The sequence below is a fragment of the Homo sapiens genome, chromosome 9 (genome assembly GCF_000001405.40).
Source record: "Homo sapiens chromosome 9, GRCh38.p14 Primary Assembly".
Taxonomy (NCBI): Eukaryota; Metazoa; Chordata; class Mammalia; order Primates; family Hominidae; genus Homo; species Homo sapiens.
Genome location: NC_000009.12, coordinates 22,665,755 through 22,685,604, shown reverse-complemented (window position 1 = coordinate 22,685,604; position 19,850 = coordinate 22,665,755). Strand labels below are relative to the sequence as shown.

General features: G+C 34.6%; 2 long non-coding RNA genes across 2 annotated transcripts in view; one reads left to right on the top strand and one right to left on the bottom strand.

The window, feature by feature from the left end:
• Positions 1-19,219, top strand: part of LOC107987054 (LINE-1 retrotransposable element ORF2 protein-like) — a 40,372-nt gene extending 21,153 nt beyond the window's left edge. The window contains exons 2-3 of the long non-coding RNA XR_001746635.2: positions 12,971-13,097; positions 18,262-19,219. This is a non-coding gene — a long non-coding RNA (LINE-1 retrotransposable element ORF2 protein-like). The remainder of the gene's footprint in view (positions 1-12,970; positions 13,098-18,261) is intronic.
• The window catches only part of LINC01239 (long intergenic non-protein coding RNA 1239), a 178,014-nt gene that overhangs the window by 138,609 nt on the left and 19,555 nt on the right, over positions 1-19,850 (bottom strand). Inside the window, exons 2-3 of the long non-coding RNA NR_038977.1 lie at positions 10,962-11,162; positions 2,892-2,995 (exon numbers count right to left, since the gene is read on the bottom strand). This is a non-coding gene — a long non-coding RNA (long intergenic non-protein coding RNA 1239). The remainder of the gene's footprint in view (positions 1-2,891; positions 2,996-10,961; positions 11,163-19,850) is intronic.

Below are 19,850 nucleotides of genomic sequence, written 5' to 3'. Positions count from 1 at the left end.
TAAAATAACGACAGAAATGCCTCCATCACAGGGCTCGTATCTTTAACTTAGAGCATGACATATAGTTAGTCATTCATGGTAATACATTTAAATGATAAAATAATTATATTAGGTAATTACATAAAGTATACTAGATATATTATACTTTAAATATATTAAGTACCTGGCATGTAGCATGATCTGAATAAATGGTGGCTTCTATCTTTGTTATGTATCGATTAGTTTACTGTGTTGGATGGTCAGCAATATTTTTGTGAAGCAAGGGATAAAAAGCAAACCTTTTTTAAAAAGTGAGATCACATATACACGCGCGCGCACACACACACACACAGAGAGAGAGAGAGAGAACAGATCAGAATACATCGTTTTGGATGTATACTGCTATAAGCTAACTATTTAACTCATGGTTTTACCCCATTTACTTTTCTTCCTGTTTTTTTTCCCCACTGCAAGATCAGACTGTTGCACTTAATGAGGCAAGGAAGCATAGCAGTATATCTGAGCAATTAAAGCCCCTTCATTCAGACAATAATAAAATCCGCAATTGTCTCCTTTTGCCTGGAAAAACAACTTTATAGTTTATTGAATAAGTAAGATTTTGATCTAACTCTAACTCTTCTCCTTAAACATCTCTGCACTTTCCTGTCCTCACCTAACTCTCCAAAAGGATTCTTTAGATGGAAAGAATCACAAATCAATATTATCAGAATACATCCAGGTTGAGTACTTTCTTCAGGCAAAGTGTTATTGTAACAACCCCAACAAAACAGACTTCTCTCACTGATTCTCAGCTTTCCGCTCTTCATCAAAGTTTGCTTTTTTTCTCCTCTCCTAAGTATGAAATAAACATGGTAGCATCCAAGGATAGCCATGTTTTTTCTCTATTCTACATGCTGTATTATTTCCTGGCAGTCAAGTCATCTCCCTTACCAGAGTCTTGTACTAGCAAATCCTCACCTTTACTAAACATATTCTGCTTGGCAAATGTGACCATAAGAGTTTGAAGAACATGAATAGGGCTTTTTAAAAATTTTTGAACTTTACCATTGACTTGCCCTGGGCAAATATCTTTTGGAGACACATGTACAGTTCTACATTCTCTGACTTAAAGAGGATCTGAAAAACTGCAAAGGAGGCTCTGAAGAGTGCCATAAATTGATAAAAAGTTTAGAGATAAAGCTAATGAAGCTTTAATTCTGCTTCCAATTAAATAGGCTGAAAGAGTGATTTTGCAGTCTGAGTAAGGAATGTTTCAGAAAATGGTGACAAATTTCTTGTGCTCTCTAAGCACATTATAAAAGGAAGCAGGTTTAAATAGCAGAATAAAGGATTTTGTAAAAGTTGTTAAGTGATGGCATGGATTTCTATAAGGATGGTATCTGAAGTTACTTTTAAGTGGACTAGGTTCTTATCTGTCTGGGGGATTTGAGTAGATGTGTGTAGCCTATTACCTTCTCATGTCACTTTTTAGTCCCCTGAATCCATTATTAACCAGTGCAGAGAAGAATAAGAACAAGAAAAAGATGGAGAGAAAGAAAATGGGAAGGAAAAAAAGAAAAGATGGAGAATCAGGAAAAAGAGGAGAAACAGAACCTAGGTTTCTCTACGTTAAAAAAAAAAAAAGTGCCTGCTGCTTCCTGTGACCAGATGAAAGAGATAGCACACCACATGCAGACACTGAAATCTCTCTCTGATCTACTTGCGAAAGTCATACTGTCATCAGTGAACAAGGCATCTTAGACATCCTGACTCACTCCATTTATAGTAAATGCTTCAGGTTTCTGAAAGAGCAAGCAACCTGACTCACTGTGATATAAAACCCTATACACTAACAAGAAAATAAAACTCACCATCACTCCTCAGGTGATAAGAGCTTATGACACTGAAAATTATATGAACATTAAAAAGAAACATACAAACAGCATATTTACACACTCATTTATTAATATCAATTCTGGACAGAGGATACGCTTTTAGAAAGCAGAAGTGCCTGAAATTACCAATCAAATAGTAACATCATTGAAACCTCCCTCCCCTGCTAAAGATAAACAAACAATTCAATACCAGCTTCATAATGACCACATATTTTCAGCCACAGCAGGTTGCTGCCTAGTCCCCGAAGGAAAATGACAAATGAATGCTGTTTAATATTTTGTTTGAACAGTTTTTTCTTTCAGAGAACTATTTGCAATACGATAATGAGAAGAGCATAGCTGCAGAGCATAGCATTTTGTAAGGATGACAACCTTTCTAGGGCACATCATCTGATACACACTTTGTTTATCCAGAGTGAATTTAGTGGTTAAAATGATTAATTGAACCCATCTTGTGTTACTCATACTAGCTCTTGCAAAGGAGGTGATTGCTATTTTTTCTTAGTGACTCATACGAAGATGCTAGCAGTTCACTGGCAATAACAAAATGACATTTCTAAATTTAGCAGTTCATAAATCTTAGAAGATGCCAGCCACATCCAGCCCCCTTCCCCCATGCTCCTCTCCCAGTCCCTTCTCAAATGTGTAAAAGACTTAAATGTGCATGGAGACAAAACAGAGACTTCCTCAGGGCACATGTGTCTCTTCCTCCCTCAGTACCTACCAACACCACTGTGCACTCAGATAGGAGCAATGTGTATATTTCCCAAATGATAGCTTTTATTATGCCATTACGATGCTAAATGTGTCTGGTAAAAATACATGCAGAATATGTGAATGTTTCCAAAGGAGCCCAATTCGATGAATTATTTTCAGGGGGCACTGTGTAAACTAGCAAATTTCTTCCTGTCCTCCTATGTTATCTATTCCGTGACAAGAAGTATGCAATAAATCACCAGCCTTAGGAAAGAAAAAAATTGCCTCTATCATTTTCTGTGGTTTACATAAGGCACTTACCAAATGTATCATGCCCTCCGTATTTCTTTTTGCCATTGTTCTGAGACTTCAGGGCTACAATTGACCTCCAGAAATTGCACTGACATGTGACTCACACAGGTAGCCTGCAATAAAGGATACAAGAGAATTAGACTTGATGAACTAAAAATCCACATGGCTAAAAAGACATTACTGAGCAAAGTGACACGCAAGTATTGTTTTGTAAAATAGTTGCCTAATTTTAATCCCTCCCTCTCACAACTTCCTCACTATGGAGATCTTCTCATCAGTGAATGAAGGAACAAATAGAATTGCTTTCCAACTACTTAAAATGACTTTCTAAAAATGGTAACTGGGTAATAACTTTTTTGCCTCTATTCCATTTTTCTTCACATCTCCCATTAAAAATACACCCTGCTTCAGGTCAACAACAATGACAAAACTGTCATTTAAGAGTAAACGTATTCAGCAAATATGAGATTATTATATCAAAAGCCCAAAATTAATAAAGAAACTCTTTACAAAATATTAGCTTCTCAGTGGCAAAGCTGAATAGTAGAATATGCAAATTATGGGAAGCAGGAAGTTTTATTTAAAGTAGGGGATGAATGTTTTTTGACTGTAGAGAAGTATAGACATTTCCAAAAACCCTTCCCCACTCATATTTTCTTTCTTTCTCTATATCTAGGATTATGTTTCTACTATTTTTTTCAACTTATTTACTGGTGACCCCTCCCCGAAATGCTTTTTATTGATGCAACTTTTGGAATAAACCCAGCAGGAGTAGCCATTTATGCCTAGTGTTCCATTATTGGAACATTAAGCATGTGGGAATTATTTATATCCTACTGCTCAAGGCCATCGCCAAGGTCTGATTGCAAAAATTCAAAGAATTGCAACCTCAGGCAGAAATGGGTTAACTTTCAGAGTTAATAATTATATTCATTTCACTGATACCCAATTTTGACAAGATTTTGTGAGCAAATAAATAATTCTCTAAAGAGATCCAGCATTGTGATAGAAAAAAAAATATGTTTGATACAAGTGACTAGGCTAAGCAAAACTTTCATCTCTCTTTAATATACCATACACCTGCATTGATAGAATTTGTCCTAAACATAAGGGCTTCTCAATTAGTCTCTCTGTTTTGCCCGCTGTGCTTGCTATTTATGTTACACAAATAGAATGTTGTATATTTGGAAGCAATTGAGCTAAACAACTAATTCCTGACTTAGAGTATCTGTGATAACACATTTCAAAGACCCAGGGTATGACACATTATGCCCAGTAACTGACTCAGTTAAGTATCTCTCTGGAAAGCATGTAAACTTCACTGAATCTATTGAACACATTTGCCTATGCATTAGTAAGACATCTGGAAAACTAGACAAGCAATAAAATAAAGGCATCTGAGTACAGTGTACCCACTGATTTAAGAAAATAAAGTAATCAGCTTTCCAACTGGGTTCAAGATAATGGTCACTCTTTGATTGGGAAGCAATAAGGTCAGATTCTATTTCTACAAAGAATCAGGTAGTTTCCAGGCTCCCCTCTGAAGACCTAGTAAGGATAAATAGTGCTTCCAAATATGTTTGAAGATAGGATACAGAGAAGAACACGTCCAAAACACATCTTTGAGATGATAATTTTGCTGAAGTTTGCTATTGACTTTATGACAATAATTAAAATTGGCACTACTTCTTTCTACTCCCAGTTCCTTTGTCTTAAACCATGGTGGGGGGGAAAGAAATATCACTCAGAATTTTTCAGTGTTGGTCTTGCATCTCAAGATGTACACAGCTATGCTTTTCTAAAAAACGGATTTTAGCTACTATGAATCATTTGTAATATACATGGTATATTATACCAAGTATAATATATGATGGCTGGGGTTCCTTTACAATTGGTTCACCCACTCCTGGTCTCAAAGTGATTTGTAAAATGATGGGTTGGATGCTAGGAGTGCAAGGGATTGTTAAATTCTGGGTTTTTGTTTGTTTGTTTGTTTGTTTCTGTTTATGGTGGTTACTGCTGTAAAATAGTAATTTGACTTTTTGTTAACCAGTAACAAAAATCCTTCCTACTTCCCTTTCATTCTCCCTAAGGGAAAAAAGTTACTCGCTGGATGCTGAAGATATCCAGAATTGTTAGCAGAACAGCTATATGGTCTTTTTGTCAATATAGGACTTTAAAGTTAGGTTAAATTTTTATTTAAGAGATCTCTGTGTGAAGGTGGTAGTCCATCAGCTATGTGTGCGTGAACTGTGGGGAGGAAGCACTGACTGACTGAGGTCTCAGGTGTTGATGAACAGCCAATGTCACAGGAAACAATGATATGACAAACTGGCCTACATTGATTAAGTTGGGCTATTTTCACAGCTAACTTTAGTAAATTCAGGGCAGCAGAAAAACTAAGCTGTCAGTCCAATTCTACCTCTCTGTCCCCAGATATCACACTTGCTCCAGCATTCTAAGAAAAGCAGATGCTCACTCTGCCCCTGATACAAAGTCACTATTTACTGGCATCAGTGCAATTTAGCCAGGCTACTTCAATCCCTTTGGACTCAAAGCTTTCAAAATAACGAGGGAAATAGACAGACATGGCTTGTCATGAACAAACTCCTCAATAAATCGACAGGCAAAATGCTTTCCACCTAAACAGATGTTGCAAAGCAAATGTGTGAAACCAATGTAATTTTGTTTTCCCTTTTTTACTGCCTATCGTGGATCCTCCTCTGTCACAGAAATTCTACACCTGCACAGTGCAAAAAATGAGGCCTTTGATCTACTATAGTTATAATGTACATCACAGAATTTTATTCCTCTTGAATAAGTTACAGCCATTTCTTCTTTAAAAATGTGAAATCTGAGATAATTAAAAAGCAGCTCAAGGAGCTATCCAAACCCTAATCTCTTTCCTGTATAAGAAATGGGACCAACCAACCTCTCATTAAATTAACCATAAAGAAGAAAAAAAAGATGAAAGCTCACAATACTGAAAAATACGACTTTAGTCAACCTTATGCCAGTATCTGGGCAGCTGGAATGGGAATTTAGTTCATAGCATATTTCTGCTTTGCATTGTGAAAGAGATTACTTGGTAGACTTAGGAAAGCAGGGAAATAATACTGCCTTTTATTAATAAATCAAGCTGGAAGAGATTTTATAAATAATTTAGAGCAACATCTCACCCTTCTGATAAGCAAGGTGGGACAGAGGGCAGTTAGTGATCTGCCAATGGCAAACATTTACTTAGAAACAGAGCTAAGACTGGCGAGCAAAGCTTGAAAGAGCAAGGGCTCTGGAGTCAGAGGAACTCTCTTTGAATGCCACCTCTTACTTAAGAAAAGTTACTAAACTCAAGCATAAATTATCCAACTGTAAAACAGAATTATTAACACCTAGAGTTGAAACTTAAAGAGTTACAGGATAAGATGGAATAATGCAGAGCTCCATGGAAGATATTAATAAAGCAAACAAACCTGCCTTCTTCAAATTACAATCTGAAAAAAATGCATCAGAACTGAACAATAGTGAAGTTATTTCTGTACTCAGAGAGACCCTGTGATAATTATCAATAACATCTAAAGAATGAGAACACTTCCTTGGTTTTAGGTTGGTCAGTCCAAAGACACGGAAAAATAAGAGACCTAGGCAATTTTCAGCAATGACCATTCATGCATTGCCCAGGGTAAGAGGCACTTTGTCAGGCTGACCTAAACATTTGATTCTCTGGACAAATAAGCAAGTGTAAAAATGGACAGGGTTGCTTGAAGCATTGAGCATTTAAGTCTTAACAACTATTTCTTTTCTAGTGTGTACCAAACAAAGCTTTGCTGATGTGACTTCCCATAGTAGTTTGAGTACTGAGAAAAATATCTCAGTAAATTAAATTATTTCTATATGATTTTCATAAGAACTTTATTAGTGTGAGATAGCATCTCTGAATCTGATCCAATTGGGAAACCTGATGAAACTTTATAAGACTGCATGAATGAAAGGCAAGCCCTGACTATGAAGACATAAGAATCAAGGTCAACTTATGTGTCTCCATAGCCAGCTAGCTTTTCCCAGATTACTCCATTCTGCATTTTCACATACCATATAGCTTTTCTATTTGTAAATTCTCTAATAACCACTTCACAAAACTTTTCAAATGACTTAGCGTATATTATATTTAAAGCATATAGGACAAAATCTTAGCATATAATGTCTCAATAAATGTTCCTTTCTTTCTCATTTTTAATCCAATGCATTTTCTTCCCCAAGGAAGTAAAGCAGAGCCTAGCTGTGGGGAAGAGGAAGAGTTCCCTAGAGGAGGTGATAATTTAAATTTCATAATAAAGAGCAAGAAATATGTTTGGAGCAGAAGAAAGAAGAGGATAAGGGAGTAATAAGAGATAATATGAACAAAGAGCAGACAGCGAGAAAGAGTACAGGGCACTAAGGGAAATTAAAATTATCCAGGGTATTTTGGAAGTTGGGTATTTATCTAGAGAGAATAGTCAGCCATTACAGGGTTTTGAAGTAGGACAGTTAATAAAGTGAGTTTTTATTTTAGAATGAATCCTCTGGCTGTAGCCTGGATGCTTAAATAGAGAGAAGTAGGAGAGAAGCTTGAGACAAAGGGTCTAATTAGTGATTTGTTATATAACCAAAATAGGAGATTATGAATTAAGGATATGCCAATAGGTATAGAGAAATATGGACTGATTTAATAAATGTTTAGTTGGTAAAATTTCTAGCATTTGGTTGGTTTTTGTTTGAAACTGTAGATAAGATGACTTCCAGGATTATGGTTCTTGCAATTGATGGGATACTTTTGCCCTTCTCTGATGTTGGGAGCAGAACAGAAAGAGTAGAAGTAGAAAAAGAGTATAGATAATAGGCCAGCATGAAGTGTTTTGTGTTTGAGAGTCCTGTAGATCAATAGGTATTTGGATTGATGAGGAGAAATTTCTAAGCTAAAGATAAAGGTTTTTTAGTTATTGGGAAATAGTAGCATGGCAAACAAGAAAGATATTTAGTACCTGAGTCAATGAGCTCATACAGAATGATCAAACCTCTTCTTCATCTTTTTGAATTTTTCTAAAACTGCATATTTAAAAAATGACATCTCTAAGATCATAGAAAATGGTGTAAAAATGTGAGCTTTCCTCACCCCTCTTTTTTGACGTGTCATAGGCAAAATACGTAACATCATCAGTATAATAATCTAGTTCTTACAGGTAAGAAAGTCTGCTTAAATCCATGCGAGACAAGAAATAATTTAAGATTACAAATGGCACGTGTATTCGGCAGAATAATTCCCACCCCCCAAATATGTCCATTTTCTAATCCCTGGAATCTGTGAATATATTACAAGACAAAAGGGACTTTGCAGCTGTAATTAAGGTTAAGGACCTTGAAATGGGGATATTTTCCTAAACAATCCAGGTTGGCCCAGTATAATGACATGACTTCTTAAAAGTTGAGAACATTTCTTGCCTGTATTCAGAGAAAGAGATGTGACGGCAACTAAAGCAGGGTCGGTGGGATGGGACATTAAATCTCAATCCACTGTTGCTGGCTTTGAAAATGGGAGAAGGGAGCCACGAACCAAGGAATGTGAATCCTCTTTGGAAGGTGGAAAAGAATAAGGACATTGAGTTTTTCCTAGTGCCTCCAAAAAGGAAGACAGCCTAGATGACATGTTGATTTTAGCCCAATGAGACACATTTCAAATTTCTGAACTAAAGAAATGTAAGATAAAAATGTGTGTTGTTTAAGCCACTAAATTTTATAGTAATAATTTTATACTATCAATAGAAAATCAATATAGCATGGTATAGAGGTGATGTTATATAGTAAAGAGTATGTTAGATTGTAGGTTACAAAATCTACTTTGGTACATTTCTCCCTTCATTTATCTGACAAACTCATATTTACCAAACAAAATGTAATTCAGGCACCAACCACTCTATAAAGTAGTCCCTGACCCTTGCAAGAAGTACAATTAGTTACATCTCTATACTTTTGTTGTTTGAATATATTTTACATTGTACATATTTGAGACTCTACCTGCCTGTTTGCACATTTGTGATTAATCCTGCAAGTGTAGGTACTTAAAAAATTGTTTGCAATATCCTAATGAGTTAGAAAACTACCTGTTATATAGCATATGCCTGATAAATGCTTTATAATTGAACTACTTATAAATTGTGTGAACTTGAGCAAGTCACTTAATCTCTTCAAACCTCCACTTTCTCACCTGTAAATAACAAAATTGATATTCATAGCTGCTCAGGAGATCAAATGAGATAATATACCTGAAGGGATTAGTGAAAAGGAAAGCACTATACACAATTCATTATTTAAAATATCTGTAAAACCCTTAGCACTGATAAATTTGGATCAGGTATTTATATCACTGCTAATAAATACCTCAGAAGGATTCTTCCTACCCTGTGTAACAGTACCAAAGAATTAAAAAATTATCTAATAGTGGGACTTTTAAAAACACAATATAAGAAAATGTTGAGAACCAATAATAGTTTTCAGCAGTATATTATTTTCATGCATAAAAATCTGGAAAAAAATAATAATAATTCTAAAGGGCTTTGCTGTACAAAGTTAATTTTCTGGAGACAACTTGAGGAGGAAAATGTCCCCAATGGCATGGAAAGAAGCTGTAAAAAGCTGTAATAAGAGTAAATGATCTGGTGCAGATAATTGCAAAGATCAGTGAAGAACAGGAAACACTTTGCTAACTATTAATTTAGACACTACTGTCAACGTTGGTTCACATAACGTTAAGTTCCATCTATTATTCAGGAAATTAGCTATTCTTTTTTAAAGTCCTCTTTTCACCATTTCATATCAATGGATGACAGAACAGAGAATTTTCAAGTGCATTATTGAGAAAAACTTTGAATGCTTTGACCATTGTACTTTTTTAGTAAAAATTATATTCTATGTATTATCCTCAAGTGCCATGGTCATCCAATCACCTAGGGTAGATTCATTTTTGTTCTTGCTTTCTATAACATATACAAAGCCACCTATCTCAAAATAACTAATCTTTCATATTCTTTTACTTTTTACTTTTCATGAGGCATATTTCCATTGGCAGTAATGTTTTCATGTTATTGTTATCTCCTGACTATAAAAATGAAATTATGTGCCAGTGGAGCAAAGTTTTCACTCTGCACATAAAAGTTAATGGTTTTTAAAACTCCATGAACTTCAATCAGATAGTTTTGTAGCTAACATTAAGTTGGCTTTTGGATGGTTGACTTAGAAAGTCGGTTACCCAATGTGATATGCCAATTAAGTATAAAACTAAAGTGATAATTATTATTCATCAATAACTGCAAATGAAGAAATTATAATCATAGCAAAAAGTTTACTCTTTTTCCATCTAAATATAGAAAATAAAAACTAGAAAGTATTTTTGTTTCACAGTGGCTATTTGTTTTATAAAATATGTTATTGTTTGAAAATGTTACAGGGATGAATATAAAACATGAAAAAGGGGTATTTTAAAATTTTCAGAGACACTAAAATAATGTATAGTTAAAAATTTCTAAAGAGTATAATTTGGGAATTTTGTGGCTTCTGTCTATTCAGAAGCTTTTACTTTATACTGTTTTCTTTCAATGACCTTAATGATGAATATTTTCATTCTCATTAAATGAGTTTATGAAAACTGCATAGTCAGTTTCCATACCTCTTAATGTAATAATAGAAGTAGGCCATTAGAACTTTATTCCTCATAGAACTTGGAACTAACCTTTTCGTCATAACCCAAATGGCAAAATCATAGGTAGCTGTGCAAATAATGACTTATACTAAGACAGTAAAGGATAGATATACACTCAACATTAACCTACAGGAAATCTGACTAGATGAATACAACTTTAACAAAATTGACTTAGGCAAAATGGTGAGTTCATGATTCTGATAGCGAATTAAATGATTGAAAAGTGCAGAGAAATTACAGCAGAGACTAAAAGGAAAGTAAGGATATTATATGGTGAATACAGGTTTGGTGTTTGTTTAATTTCAGCTTCTTTAATGTATAACATGAATACAAAAATACCTGTAACTTACATGTGAGTTCCCTTCTCCTCTTCTTCTTCTTCCTCCTCCTCCTGCTCCTTCTTCTCCTTCTCCTTCTCCTCCTTCTTCTTCTTCTCCTCCTCCTCTACCACCATCTTTTTCTCCTCCTCCTCCTCCCTTTCCTTCTCTCCTCCTCCTCCTGCTTCTTCTCCTTCTCTTTCTTCTTGCTTATTCTTCATAACATGCTGGTACCTAATAGAAGAAGAACATCATAAAATTGCTTGACTCCTCAGTCAAATTTCATTTTTAGTATTTTTTTTCCATATGTGGTTGAACAAGATAGGCTTTGATATTATTAAATTCATTGGCAGTTATTCTTTAAAGTCTTTTAAAAATAAGGCAGAAGTGCTACAAGGAAATGACATTAAAATTATTTTTTCCTTTTAAATCACTTTTGTGCTGCTAAGGATGCTCTAGGAATCACAATTTAATACTACTAGTAGTAATATTATTAAACAAACATGAACATTTTCTAATTCTTATTTTGTATATTTAGATGTTTATAGTTAGATATTTGACCTATTATTAAAATACCCTTGATTTATAAACAAAAATTTAACATGATCAAACATAAAAAGAACTAAGTTTCTGTTGAAATTTGCTACTAGGATAGATGAGGACAGGACCTAGAAATAAATTACCAACAATGAAGAAAAGGGGAAGATAGGAAGGAGTCTCCACAAAAAGGAATGGATGAGCCAAACTGAAGAGTACTGTGTGAAAACTGAACTAGAGTCTCATAAAATATCCTAAAAGCAGATGAGTTGTTGAGAGTTGAGGGAGAGAAATGCAGGGGAGGACTAGAAGGTACACAGAAGATAAACCATTTTTTCATTGATTAATAACAAATGTATTAATCAATAGTTTTACGGTTAGATGAAATAAAAATGAGTTAGAGATTCTGGTGGGCGCCAACAGCAATTGTTATATGGAGCCAAATACATGATGCAGTGTAAACTAACTAGCCTAATTCCAAGACAGGAATGGGCCTTGATGTGTTCCCTGTTAGTAAGGGGTTCATTTTCCTGGTCTGTTTCATCTGAGCATGTTATTGTTCTGCATTTGTCACCCGGACCCTCCCAGTATAGATTAACAATAACTGAAAAGGATCTTTTCTTTCATACTTTACGGTCACATTAGAAATACTTCATTGACAGTGTTTGAAACTATATTTTGAAAGGAATGATAAGCAGCTTACCAGACAATATGCAGTAAGCTAAGGTCTTTGAAGCAAAAATTCATCACTAGCTATATAACATCCTAGAGAAAACTCTGGCCATTTTTCCACAGGAGGCTGCAGGTAGATTTGGGGCACACTAAGGGTAAGGGTCTAACTTGAAGGACAAATTTCAGTTTTGTAGCCAAGTATGTGTAGACACATACATATAACCCATATGTGTAGACACACATATATATAATCAGAAGCTGAAAATATTTAATACAGTTAAATTCAGGTGTTAATTTTAATCCCTTGCCAATATAGGATAACAAAATCATCTGTCATTGCTCCATTTAAATCATTTTTCATCATCATAGTTTTGCACTATTCATGAACGTGCTTCAATGATCCGTATGGTTCCAATTTGTATTCTGGTCACCACTTCCTTATTATCACAGTTTTTATACATAATTTTTGGTCTCTGTCATCATTTTGCCCATGTTTAGATTTTCACTTCATTGATCGCAGATCTGAAATATTAGCTACTGTTATTCCTAGTTTTCTACTACCCAGACCTAGGCCACACCAGTGTTCAAGAAAGTGTGTATTCTTCAAAATTATTCTCTGCAAATGCCAGCTAGTATTTCCCAGAAATGATTGTATCCTTACCTTTGGAAATCACACTGTGTTTTCTTTGAAATAATAGGGAGGAATTTGTAAATCATACTGGTCTTTGGCAAATAAAAACCAACTATCTGATCGAGTGCAATTCAAAACATTAAAAAAAAAGTTTCTCTACAGTGCAGCCATCATTAATTCCCTGTTATTTACTGTTTTGTAGTATAAAGCCTTTCCATATCTGCAGTAAAGAAGGTAGTTTTACATAACAATGATGACTATGGGCACTGGAATTAGCAAGTCCTGGATTTGAACCTTGGCTTTGCCACTTACTAGCTGTGTGGTCCCAGGTAAGTTGACAAGTTTTGTAATCTCATTAAACTCATCCTGTTAATTGAAATAAGAACTTACGAACAATCACATGTAAAGCTCTTACCACAGGATTCACTATCAACTAAGTCCTGATGGCATTTGTTGTTTTCTATTGGCAGATAACCTCCATCCATTATGTAAATACTACATAAACATAGAAAGTTATTAGCAACTTATAAAATTAGTGAAGTAGTAACATTATATAACCATTGGTCTATAACCAAACTCAAATTTGAAGTAAAGTAATATCCCTGTTGGTATGCATTTACATAAAATCTGAATTGTACCCCAATGAAGAAGGCATAATAAGAGAATATCAACTGTGATAAGCCAGAGGTATCTAGAGGAATACTAATCACTATCTATGTAGTACGTTTCCTAGAGAAAACTTCGGCCTCTCTTCACAGAAACAGCAGGTACTTTTTAGCCATGTCAGTGTGTATCTATTTCTACAGCTTACAGATGTCAGTTGTATTATGATCTACATAAACTGTGAACTACTGATTTTAGACATTCTTTGGGAATTTTTAGAAACAGGAGAGTACTTAGCACACTGATCCAGACATCTCTCCTGAGAAAAGTGACAGGATCCACCATAAAATAGGGGCTGACATGCTTCTATAAGCAGTACCTTTCAAGTTGGCTTTTCCTGGTCAGTGCTATGCAGTTATACAGATTTAAGGTTAGCATGGATTTTCTTTCATTATTAGAATAGTTCACTCATATCATACAGCAAAGGCTTTTATTCTGCAAAACAGAGTCATACATCCTGAGAGATCTCAAGATATACAGACAGAGATAAATGTTAGTATTTTCATAAATAAAATTGTTCTTTTGCAATCATGAATACATCCATTCCTTTTGATTTTTTTTCTGAATTTCAAAATCAAAGATTAAGTCATTATTTAAAAACTCTCAAAACTCTGTGAATCATAGCTGTTAAGATGATGGGGTATAAAATTACAAAGCTTTAAAAGTGACAGTTTATTTTGATTTTATCATGATGTTAAGAAAGTAATTTTAAATGATAGTATACTTTGTCACTTTCCACGCAGGGGAATGAGGAAATATATACATACACAAGCACACACACACACACACACACACACACACACACGAAGTATATATATCCATAGTATACACATGGCAATATGTATGTGTTTTTGTGTGTTTGGGTGTATGTTTGAAGTGTTAAAAACACGAAAGGGTGGGTAAGGCGATGAAATTATTTACCTACTTTTTCTTTCACTGTAACCTTAAGCCAATGTCTGGGATTAAGATAAAATTTCAGATGCAATTAAGTAAGTTCACAATAGTATTGTTTTGTTTTTGCAATACCTAGAACCTCTTAGGATATAAAAAAATTAAAAATCTTTGGTTACAAACCTTGGTTTCAGAAATATTGCAATGTTATTATCTGGTTTTATTAATTTGTTCTCTGGTTTACAAACTTTTAATGAATAGTTATTAGGTTCTCAAATTTGTGCTAGGACTAGAGATAGAGAAATGTAAGATAAAAGACCTCTATCAGGTTGGTTTCAGTCTTCTGAGGTAAACAGAAGTAAGGAAGGGTCACCACAGATTATGGTAAGTGCCCAAATAAAAGTATGTGGATACTGATGAGAGACAGAGAAATGGTTACTTCCCCATACTGGGCTTTATGGAAAGCTTGAAGCTGACTTGAAGAATGAGTAGAAGTAAGTGACAAAGAGAAATAGAGAAGGGCCCTTCAAGCAGAGAAAAAAGCAAGTGGGAAGTTGCAAAAAGTAGCTGGCATTTAGGAAATAACCAAGAATTCAATATAGTAGAAAGAGGGAACATATGGGAAAGTCCTGAGAAATAAGACTGTGGAAATAGGAGAAATTTTTTCAAATGTTTCACAAACTTCTCTTCCTAGGATAGAACAAGAACACAGTTCTCCAGCACCGAGAAGCATTTTATGTGAGGCAGCATAGCTCAATAATTTATGAGTATGGACTTCAGAATCAAATAACCTTGATTGCAATCTTGGTTCTGTCACCTACTAGCTAAATTTTCTCGAGTAAATGCTTTTAACTCATTGTGTCTCACAAAATCATCTATAAAGTGAAGATTAACATAGCACCTACCTCCTGGTTTGTTGAAGATTAAAAAGACCTAATACATACAAAGCATTTAAAAGAGTGTCTGACATAATAAACTGTTTTCCTACTTTTATAAAGAGAACAAAGGAGACAGAGTTCACAGGAGGCAGGCCTGTTTCATCCAACTATGTTATGAGAAACAATTTTGTAGAGTCAAAATAGAAAGTGGGGCTTCTTGACATATTGATAAGGGAATGAAAAAGAACTCTGCTCAGAGGGAGGAGAACAACTAAAGCACCATTCATTGTTTACATGTTAGTGAAAATGAGCATGTAATGTCCATTCTTTGGAAAAGGAAATTATATGGAGAAAAGGTAGGGGAAATTAATAAACCTAAGCCATAAAATGGAAGAGGACATAGGAAGGACAAAATAGAAATCATGGTTAAGCCCTTCTTATTTTCCCAAAAAATCTGTTCAAGTTTTAAACCTGTGCATGCAGTCTTTATCTAGTATTTTATCAGACATAGGGTAGTAAAACCTCTTAAAAGCCTTCCTCAAACCCCAGAAGAATAGTTTTCCGAGGGGATTAATAGTGCTAACTGTGTATTGGTTTTGTTCTGAGATTGGGCAAGACAATAAAAGCACTTCATGGTAAAGGTGTAAATCTCTTTTCCAAACCATAAGGATTGAGAATCTTTGCTGCCACTATTAATTAGCGACTCTAAGATAGAAATATTCATATATTTTAACACACATATTTAACACAGATTATCTAATACTGCAAGTCAACTATGTCAGTAACTTCCCAGAGTTAGTGCAGATCCCACAGATCAAGGGCATAGTCCCCAACAAGACTGCTCTCATTTTAGATGCCAGAGGAAGAGGTCTAGGAGGGTCTTGAAGGCCCTCTCTCCATGGAATCAGGACCATGTCACCCTCCCAGCACATTGATGTGTCCCCAACCAAGAAGCTCATCTGAGCCCCAGTGTCCAGAGTTTTTACTGGAGTCTTGCTATGCAGTGCGATTGCACAGGATTTAACTCAATCTCCAATCCATCTCTCTTGCCCAGAGGTTGAACTGATATCATCTGGTTCAAAGCACCAACCTTCTAATTACATGGTTGGTTTTTCTGGCATAGTCTGCCTTCATGCTGAGCTATCTTGTTAACATAAGCTATCTAAAAGTCCACCATAAGTGACCTTATAAGCATAAACCCAGAGACTATCATGAACAACACAAATACTCCTCTCCCTTAAGAAATGTCTGGGGTTTAGAAGTTCTATCCCAGGAATCTGGGACAAAGACCAGAAAATTTTCTATTATTATACAATACACATACACACATGTGCACATATGTAAATACATGTATACACATGTGCACATATACATATTTATTTAAGTGTCAAGTAGCTAAATAATAGATATGTTACATATACTGTTGGAGATACTGAAAGAATAATAAACAACCTCTAAACTTATGAAACTTAGAGTTTGATTAATGAGCTGGAGGTGGATAGAATGGTACCAGAATATTTAGTACTGTCAGAATCCAGGAGGAAAAGACAGCAAAATGGAAAAGATCAAGAGAAATCCATCATGTGCCCACAAATAAAAACATTTTCCTTAACACCAATCTCATCATTTTCACTCTTTCTCTGGCACACTTAGGCAAAAAGAGAATGAGATCAGAATTCCATTTACCCAGTAGGTTTGCTGTCTTTAACTTAGCTTCTTTTTATACGATCAGTAAAATTATAACCCTTTGAAACAAAAAAATTTTGGTTCGCTTGGAAGCTTTTATTAAGATATAATTAATAGTTAGGAGAAATTTTACTAGGCATTTGGAATGAATTGAACTATTGCCTAATTATTATACTAAGAAATTCTTTTATAGAAAGAGACTTGGGCATCCAAATCATTTAGGAAACTAAAAAATACCATTTTAAATGAATTGTTGTGGTATTTATGTATTGAAGCTCTCCAAAAAATGTATAAACTGAAAACTATAAGCCTAAAATGAATATTTAAAACCCATTAGCACATTGTTCCTTGCTAATTGTACAATTTTGTATACAGTGAAAATTTAAAATACCTTAAGGGTTTCATGACATAAGCCATTTTGAATTTGAAATTTTGTTTTATTTCATTGCACTCTTAATTTACTGGTTAGTACTATGTTAATACAGTCATTTAACTTTCAACTTTCTTTTTTCTAAATTTCTTTTATTTTTAACTCCCCAAGAATCTTTAAAACGAACGATAGCGCATAGGCAAGGCACTCCAGCTCTACTTGTCTAACCCTAGATGAAAAAAGACATTAAGTAAAGAAAATAATCATTAAAGCATCTTTTACAGTTGGCTGAGGGACTGTTATGATTGGAATGGGAGGGACATTAACTTGCACATTACTCAAAGCAAAGTATAATAATATATTTTACAAGTTAAAGAGGCTTTGCATTGTAAAAGATAATTTTCAACAATATAGAGAAAAGAGCTGAGAAATTTCAGAATATCTTTCTATCTGAGTACACTCAATTTAAACACATTTGATCTCTAGTAGGTCTTAGGAGTTGGGTACAAATGTTCACTGTGAATGCAGAACCAACATGAATATGCCTCCACCATAACAGCACACTTCTGTTTATATGATCTACTTGGGTCCTTAGACCAGAAATCTTTTTCTAACAGAGAAGCCTATTTAATATCATGACAAAAAGCTCAGTACAGCCCCATGCTGTCGTGACAATCACATTATAACCTTTTTTTTTTTTTTTTGGTGGGGGTAGGGTGGCAAACAAAAATTAAATTAGTATTAACATGACTTAACATTGCTAAGCTTCTCTTTGGATCCCATGTTTCTGGTTCTCCAATGCCACTAATGGAAAAAGAGTATGGCCACAATAACTAGTCTTTGGCATATAATCCTTACCAAGATAAGTGGAAAGATTCAAAACCTCACTAATCTATTTTTTTCTGTTCTAAGAATATCCACAGTTTCCCAAATGTGATTATGCATCCCCCTCACATTTTCCCTTTTCACTAATGTCACCTAAATATTCGGCTCTATCCTATTCAGGAAACCAAAGTTCAGAGACATAAACAAAAGAGAAAAAACCCACAAAACTTCCTCAAGTCATAGGTCCAGTAATAAGGTAAGCTGGGAATTTAACTCACATTTTCTGACACTAAAACTATTGTTCATTCTCCTGCACTAAGCTTCTACCATAATTTATACACAATGGACTTTACCTAAGGTTAATATAATTTTGCAATCACTAGACAATTGGGATCATCTTCCTCTATCTCTGAAGGTTGGTTCTATTCGGATTATGTTGTGGTTGAGAGGTTTTATTACAGCTACCATGTATTTACCCTAGGCTGAAATAATGCAAGCAATTTTAATGGAGTGCCAATTATATGCAAATTTCTGTCCCAGTACTGGTGGAGAAGAAAACAAACATTTATGAATAAAATCATCATCAAAGGATCTCTTTGTTCAGATTTTTAGAGAATAATATGATATTGCAGATGCAATCTTACCTTCAGATATTACATTGAAATATTGCCAGTGGCATGGCATCTATCCAATAACTGGCTTAACTTCCCCTAAATACAAGCTATGCTTTAGTTAAACAAATATTTATTGTGTGCCAACCATGGACTCGGTATTCGGGGCACAATAACGAACAAGGCATGCAGTGAAGGTATTGTCCTCATCAAGTTTACAATGTAGAGGAAGATGGGATACAAGAAGAGCGTATACAAGAGAACAGAAAAGTGAGCAAAAGAATGATAAGAGATGTAAGGAAAATTTTAAAGAATGAAGGGATAGAGATTGAATTGGGAGGTTATTTTGAATTATATGGTAATTCAATTAGATGAATTTTTTTTTCTAATTGAATTAGATGGAGAATCTTTTTCTAATGAGGTAACACTTGGACTGAGACCTGATGAATACTGAAGGAGAGTACTAGAAAATCCCAGGCAGAGTGTTATTAGTAGCCAGAGGAATTGGGCAATTAGAGAAAGAAATAAAAGGCATCAAACTTGGAAGGGGCAAACTTAAATTGTCCCTGTTTGTGAATGACAGAAAATATATATAGAATCATATAGAGTGTGCATAGAAAACCCTAAATACTTCACTAAAATACCATTAGAACTAATAAACAACTTTAGTAAAGCTTCAGAATACAAAATTAACATACAAAATGCATAGTATTTCTATATACTACCACAGAACTATCAGAAAAAGGAATCAAGAAAATAATACCATATACAATAGCTACAAAAAAAGGAATAAATTTAACCAAAGAGTGGGGAGACCTATATTCTGACTACTATAAAACGCTGATGAAAGAATTGAAGAAGACACAAATAAATGAAAAATATTCTATGTTCATGGATTGGAATAATTAATATTGTTAAAATATCCATATTACTCAAAGCAATTTACAGACACAGTGCAATCCCTATCAAATTACAAATGACATTCTCCACAGAATAAGAAAAAACAATTCTAAAATTTGTATGGAACACAAAAAAGACCCCTAATAGTCAAAGCAATCTTGAACAAAATAAATATACCTGGGAGCATCACATTGCCTGACTTCAAAATACGCTACAAAGCTATAGTAGCCTAAAAACAGGGTACTGGCATAAAAACAG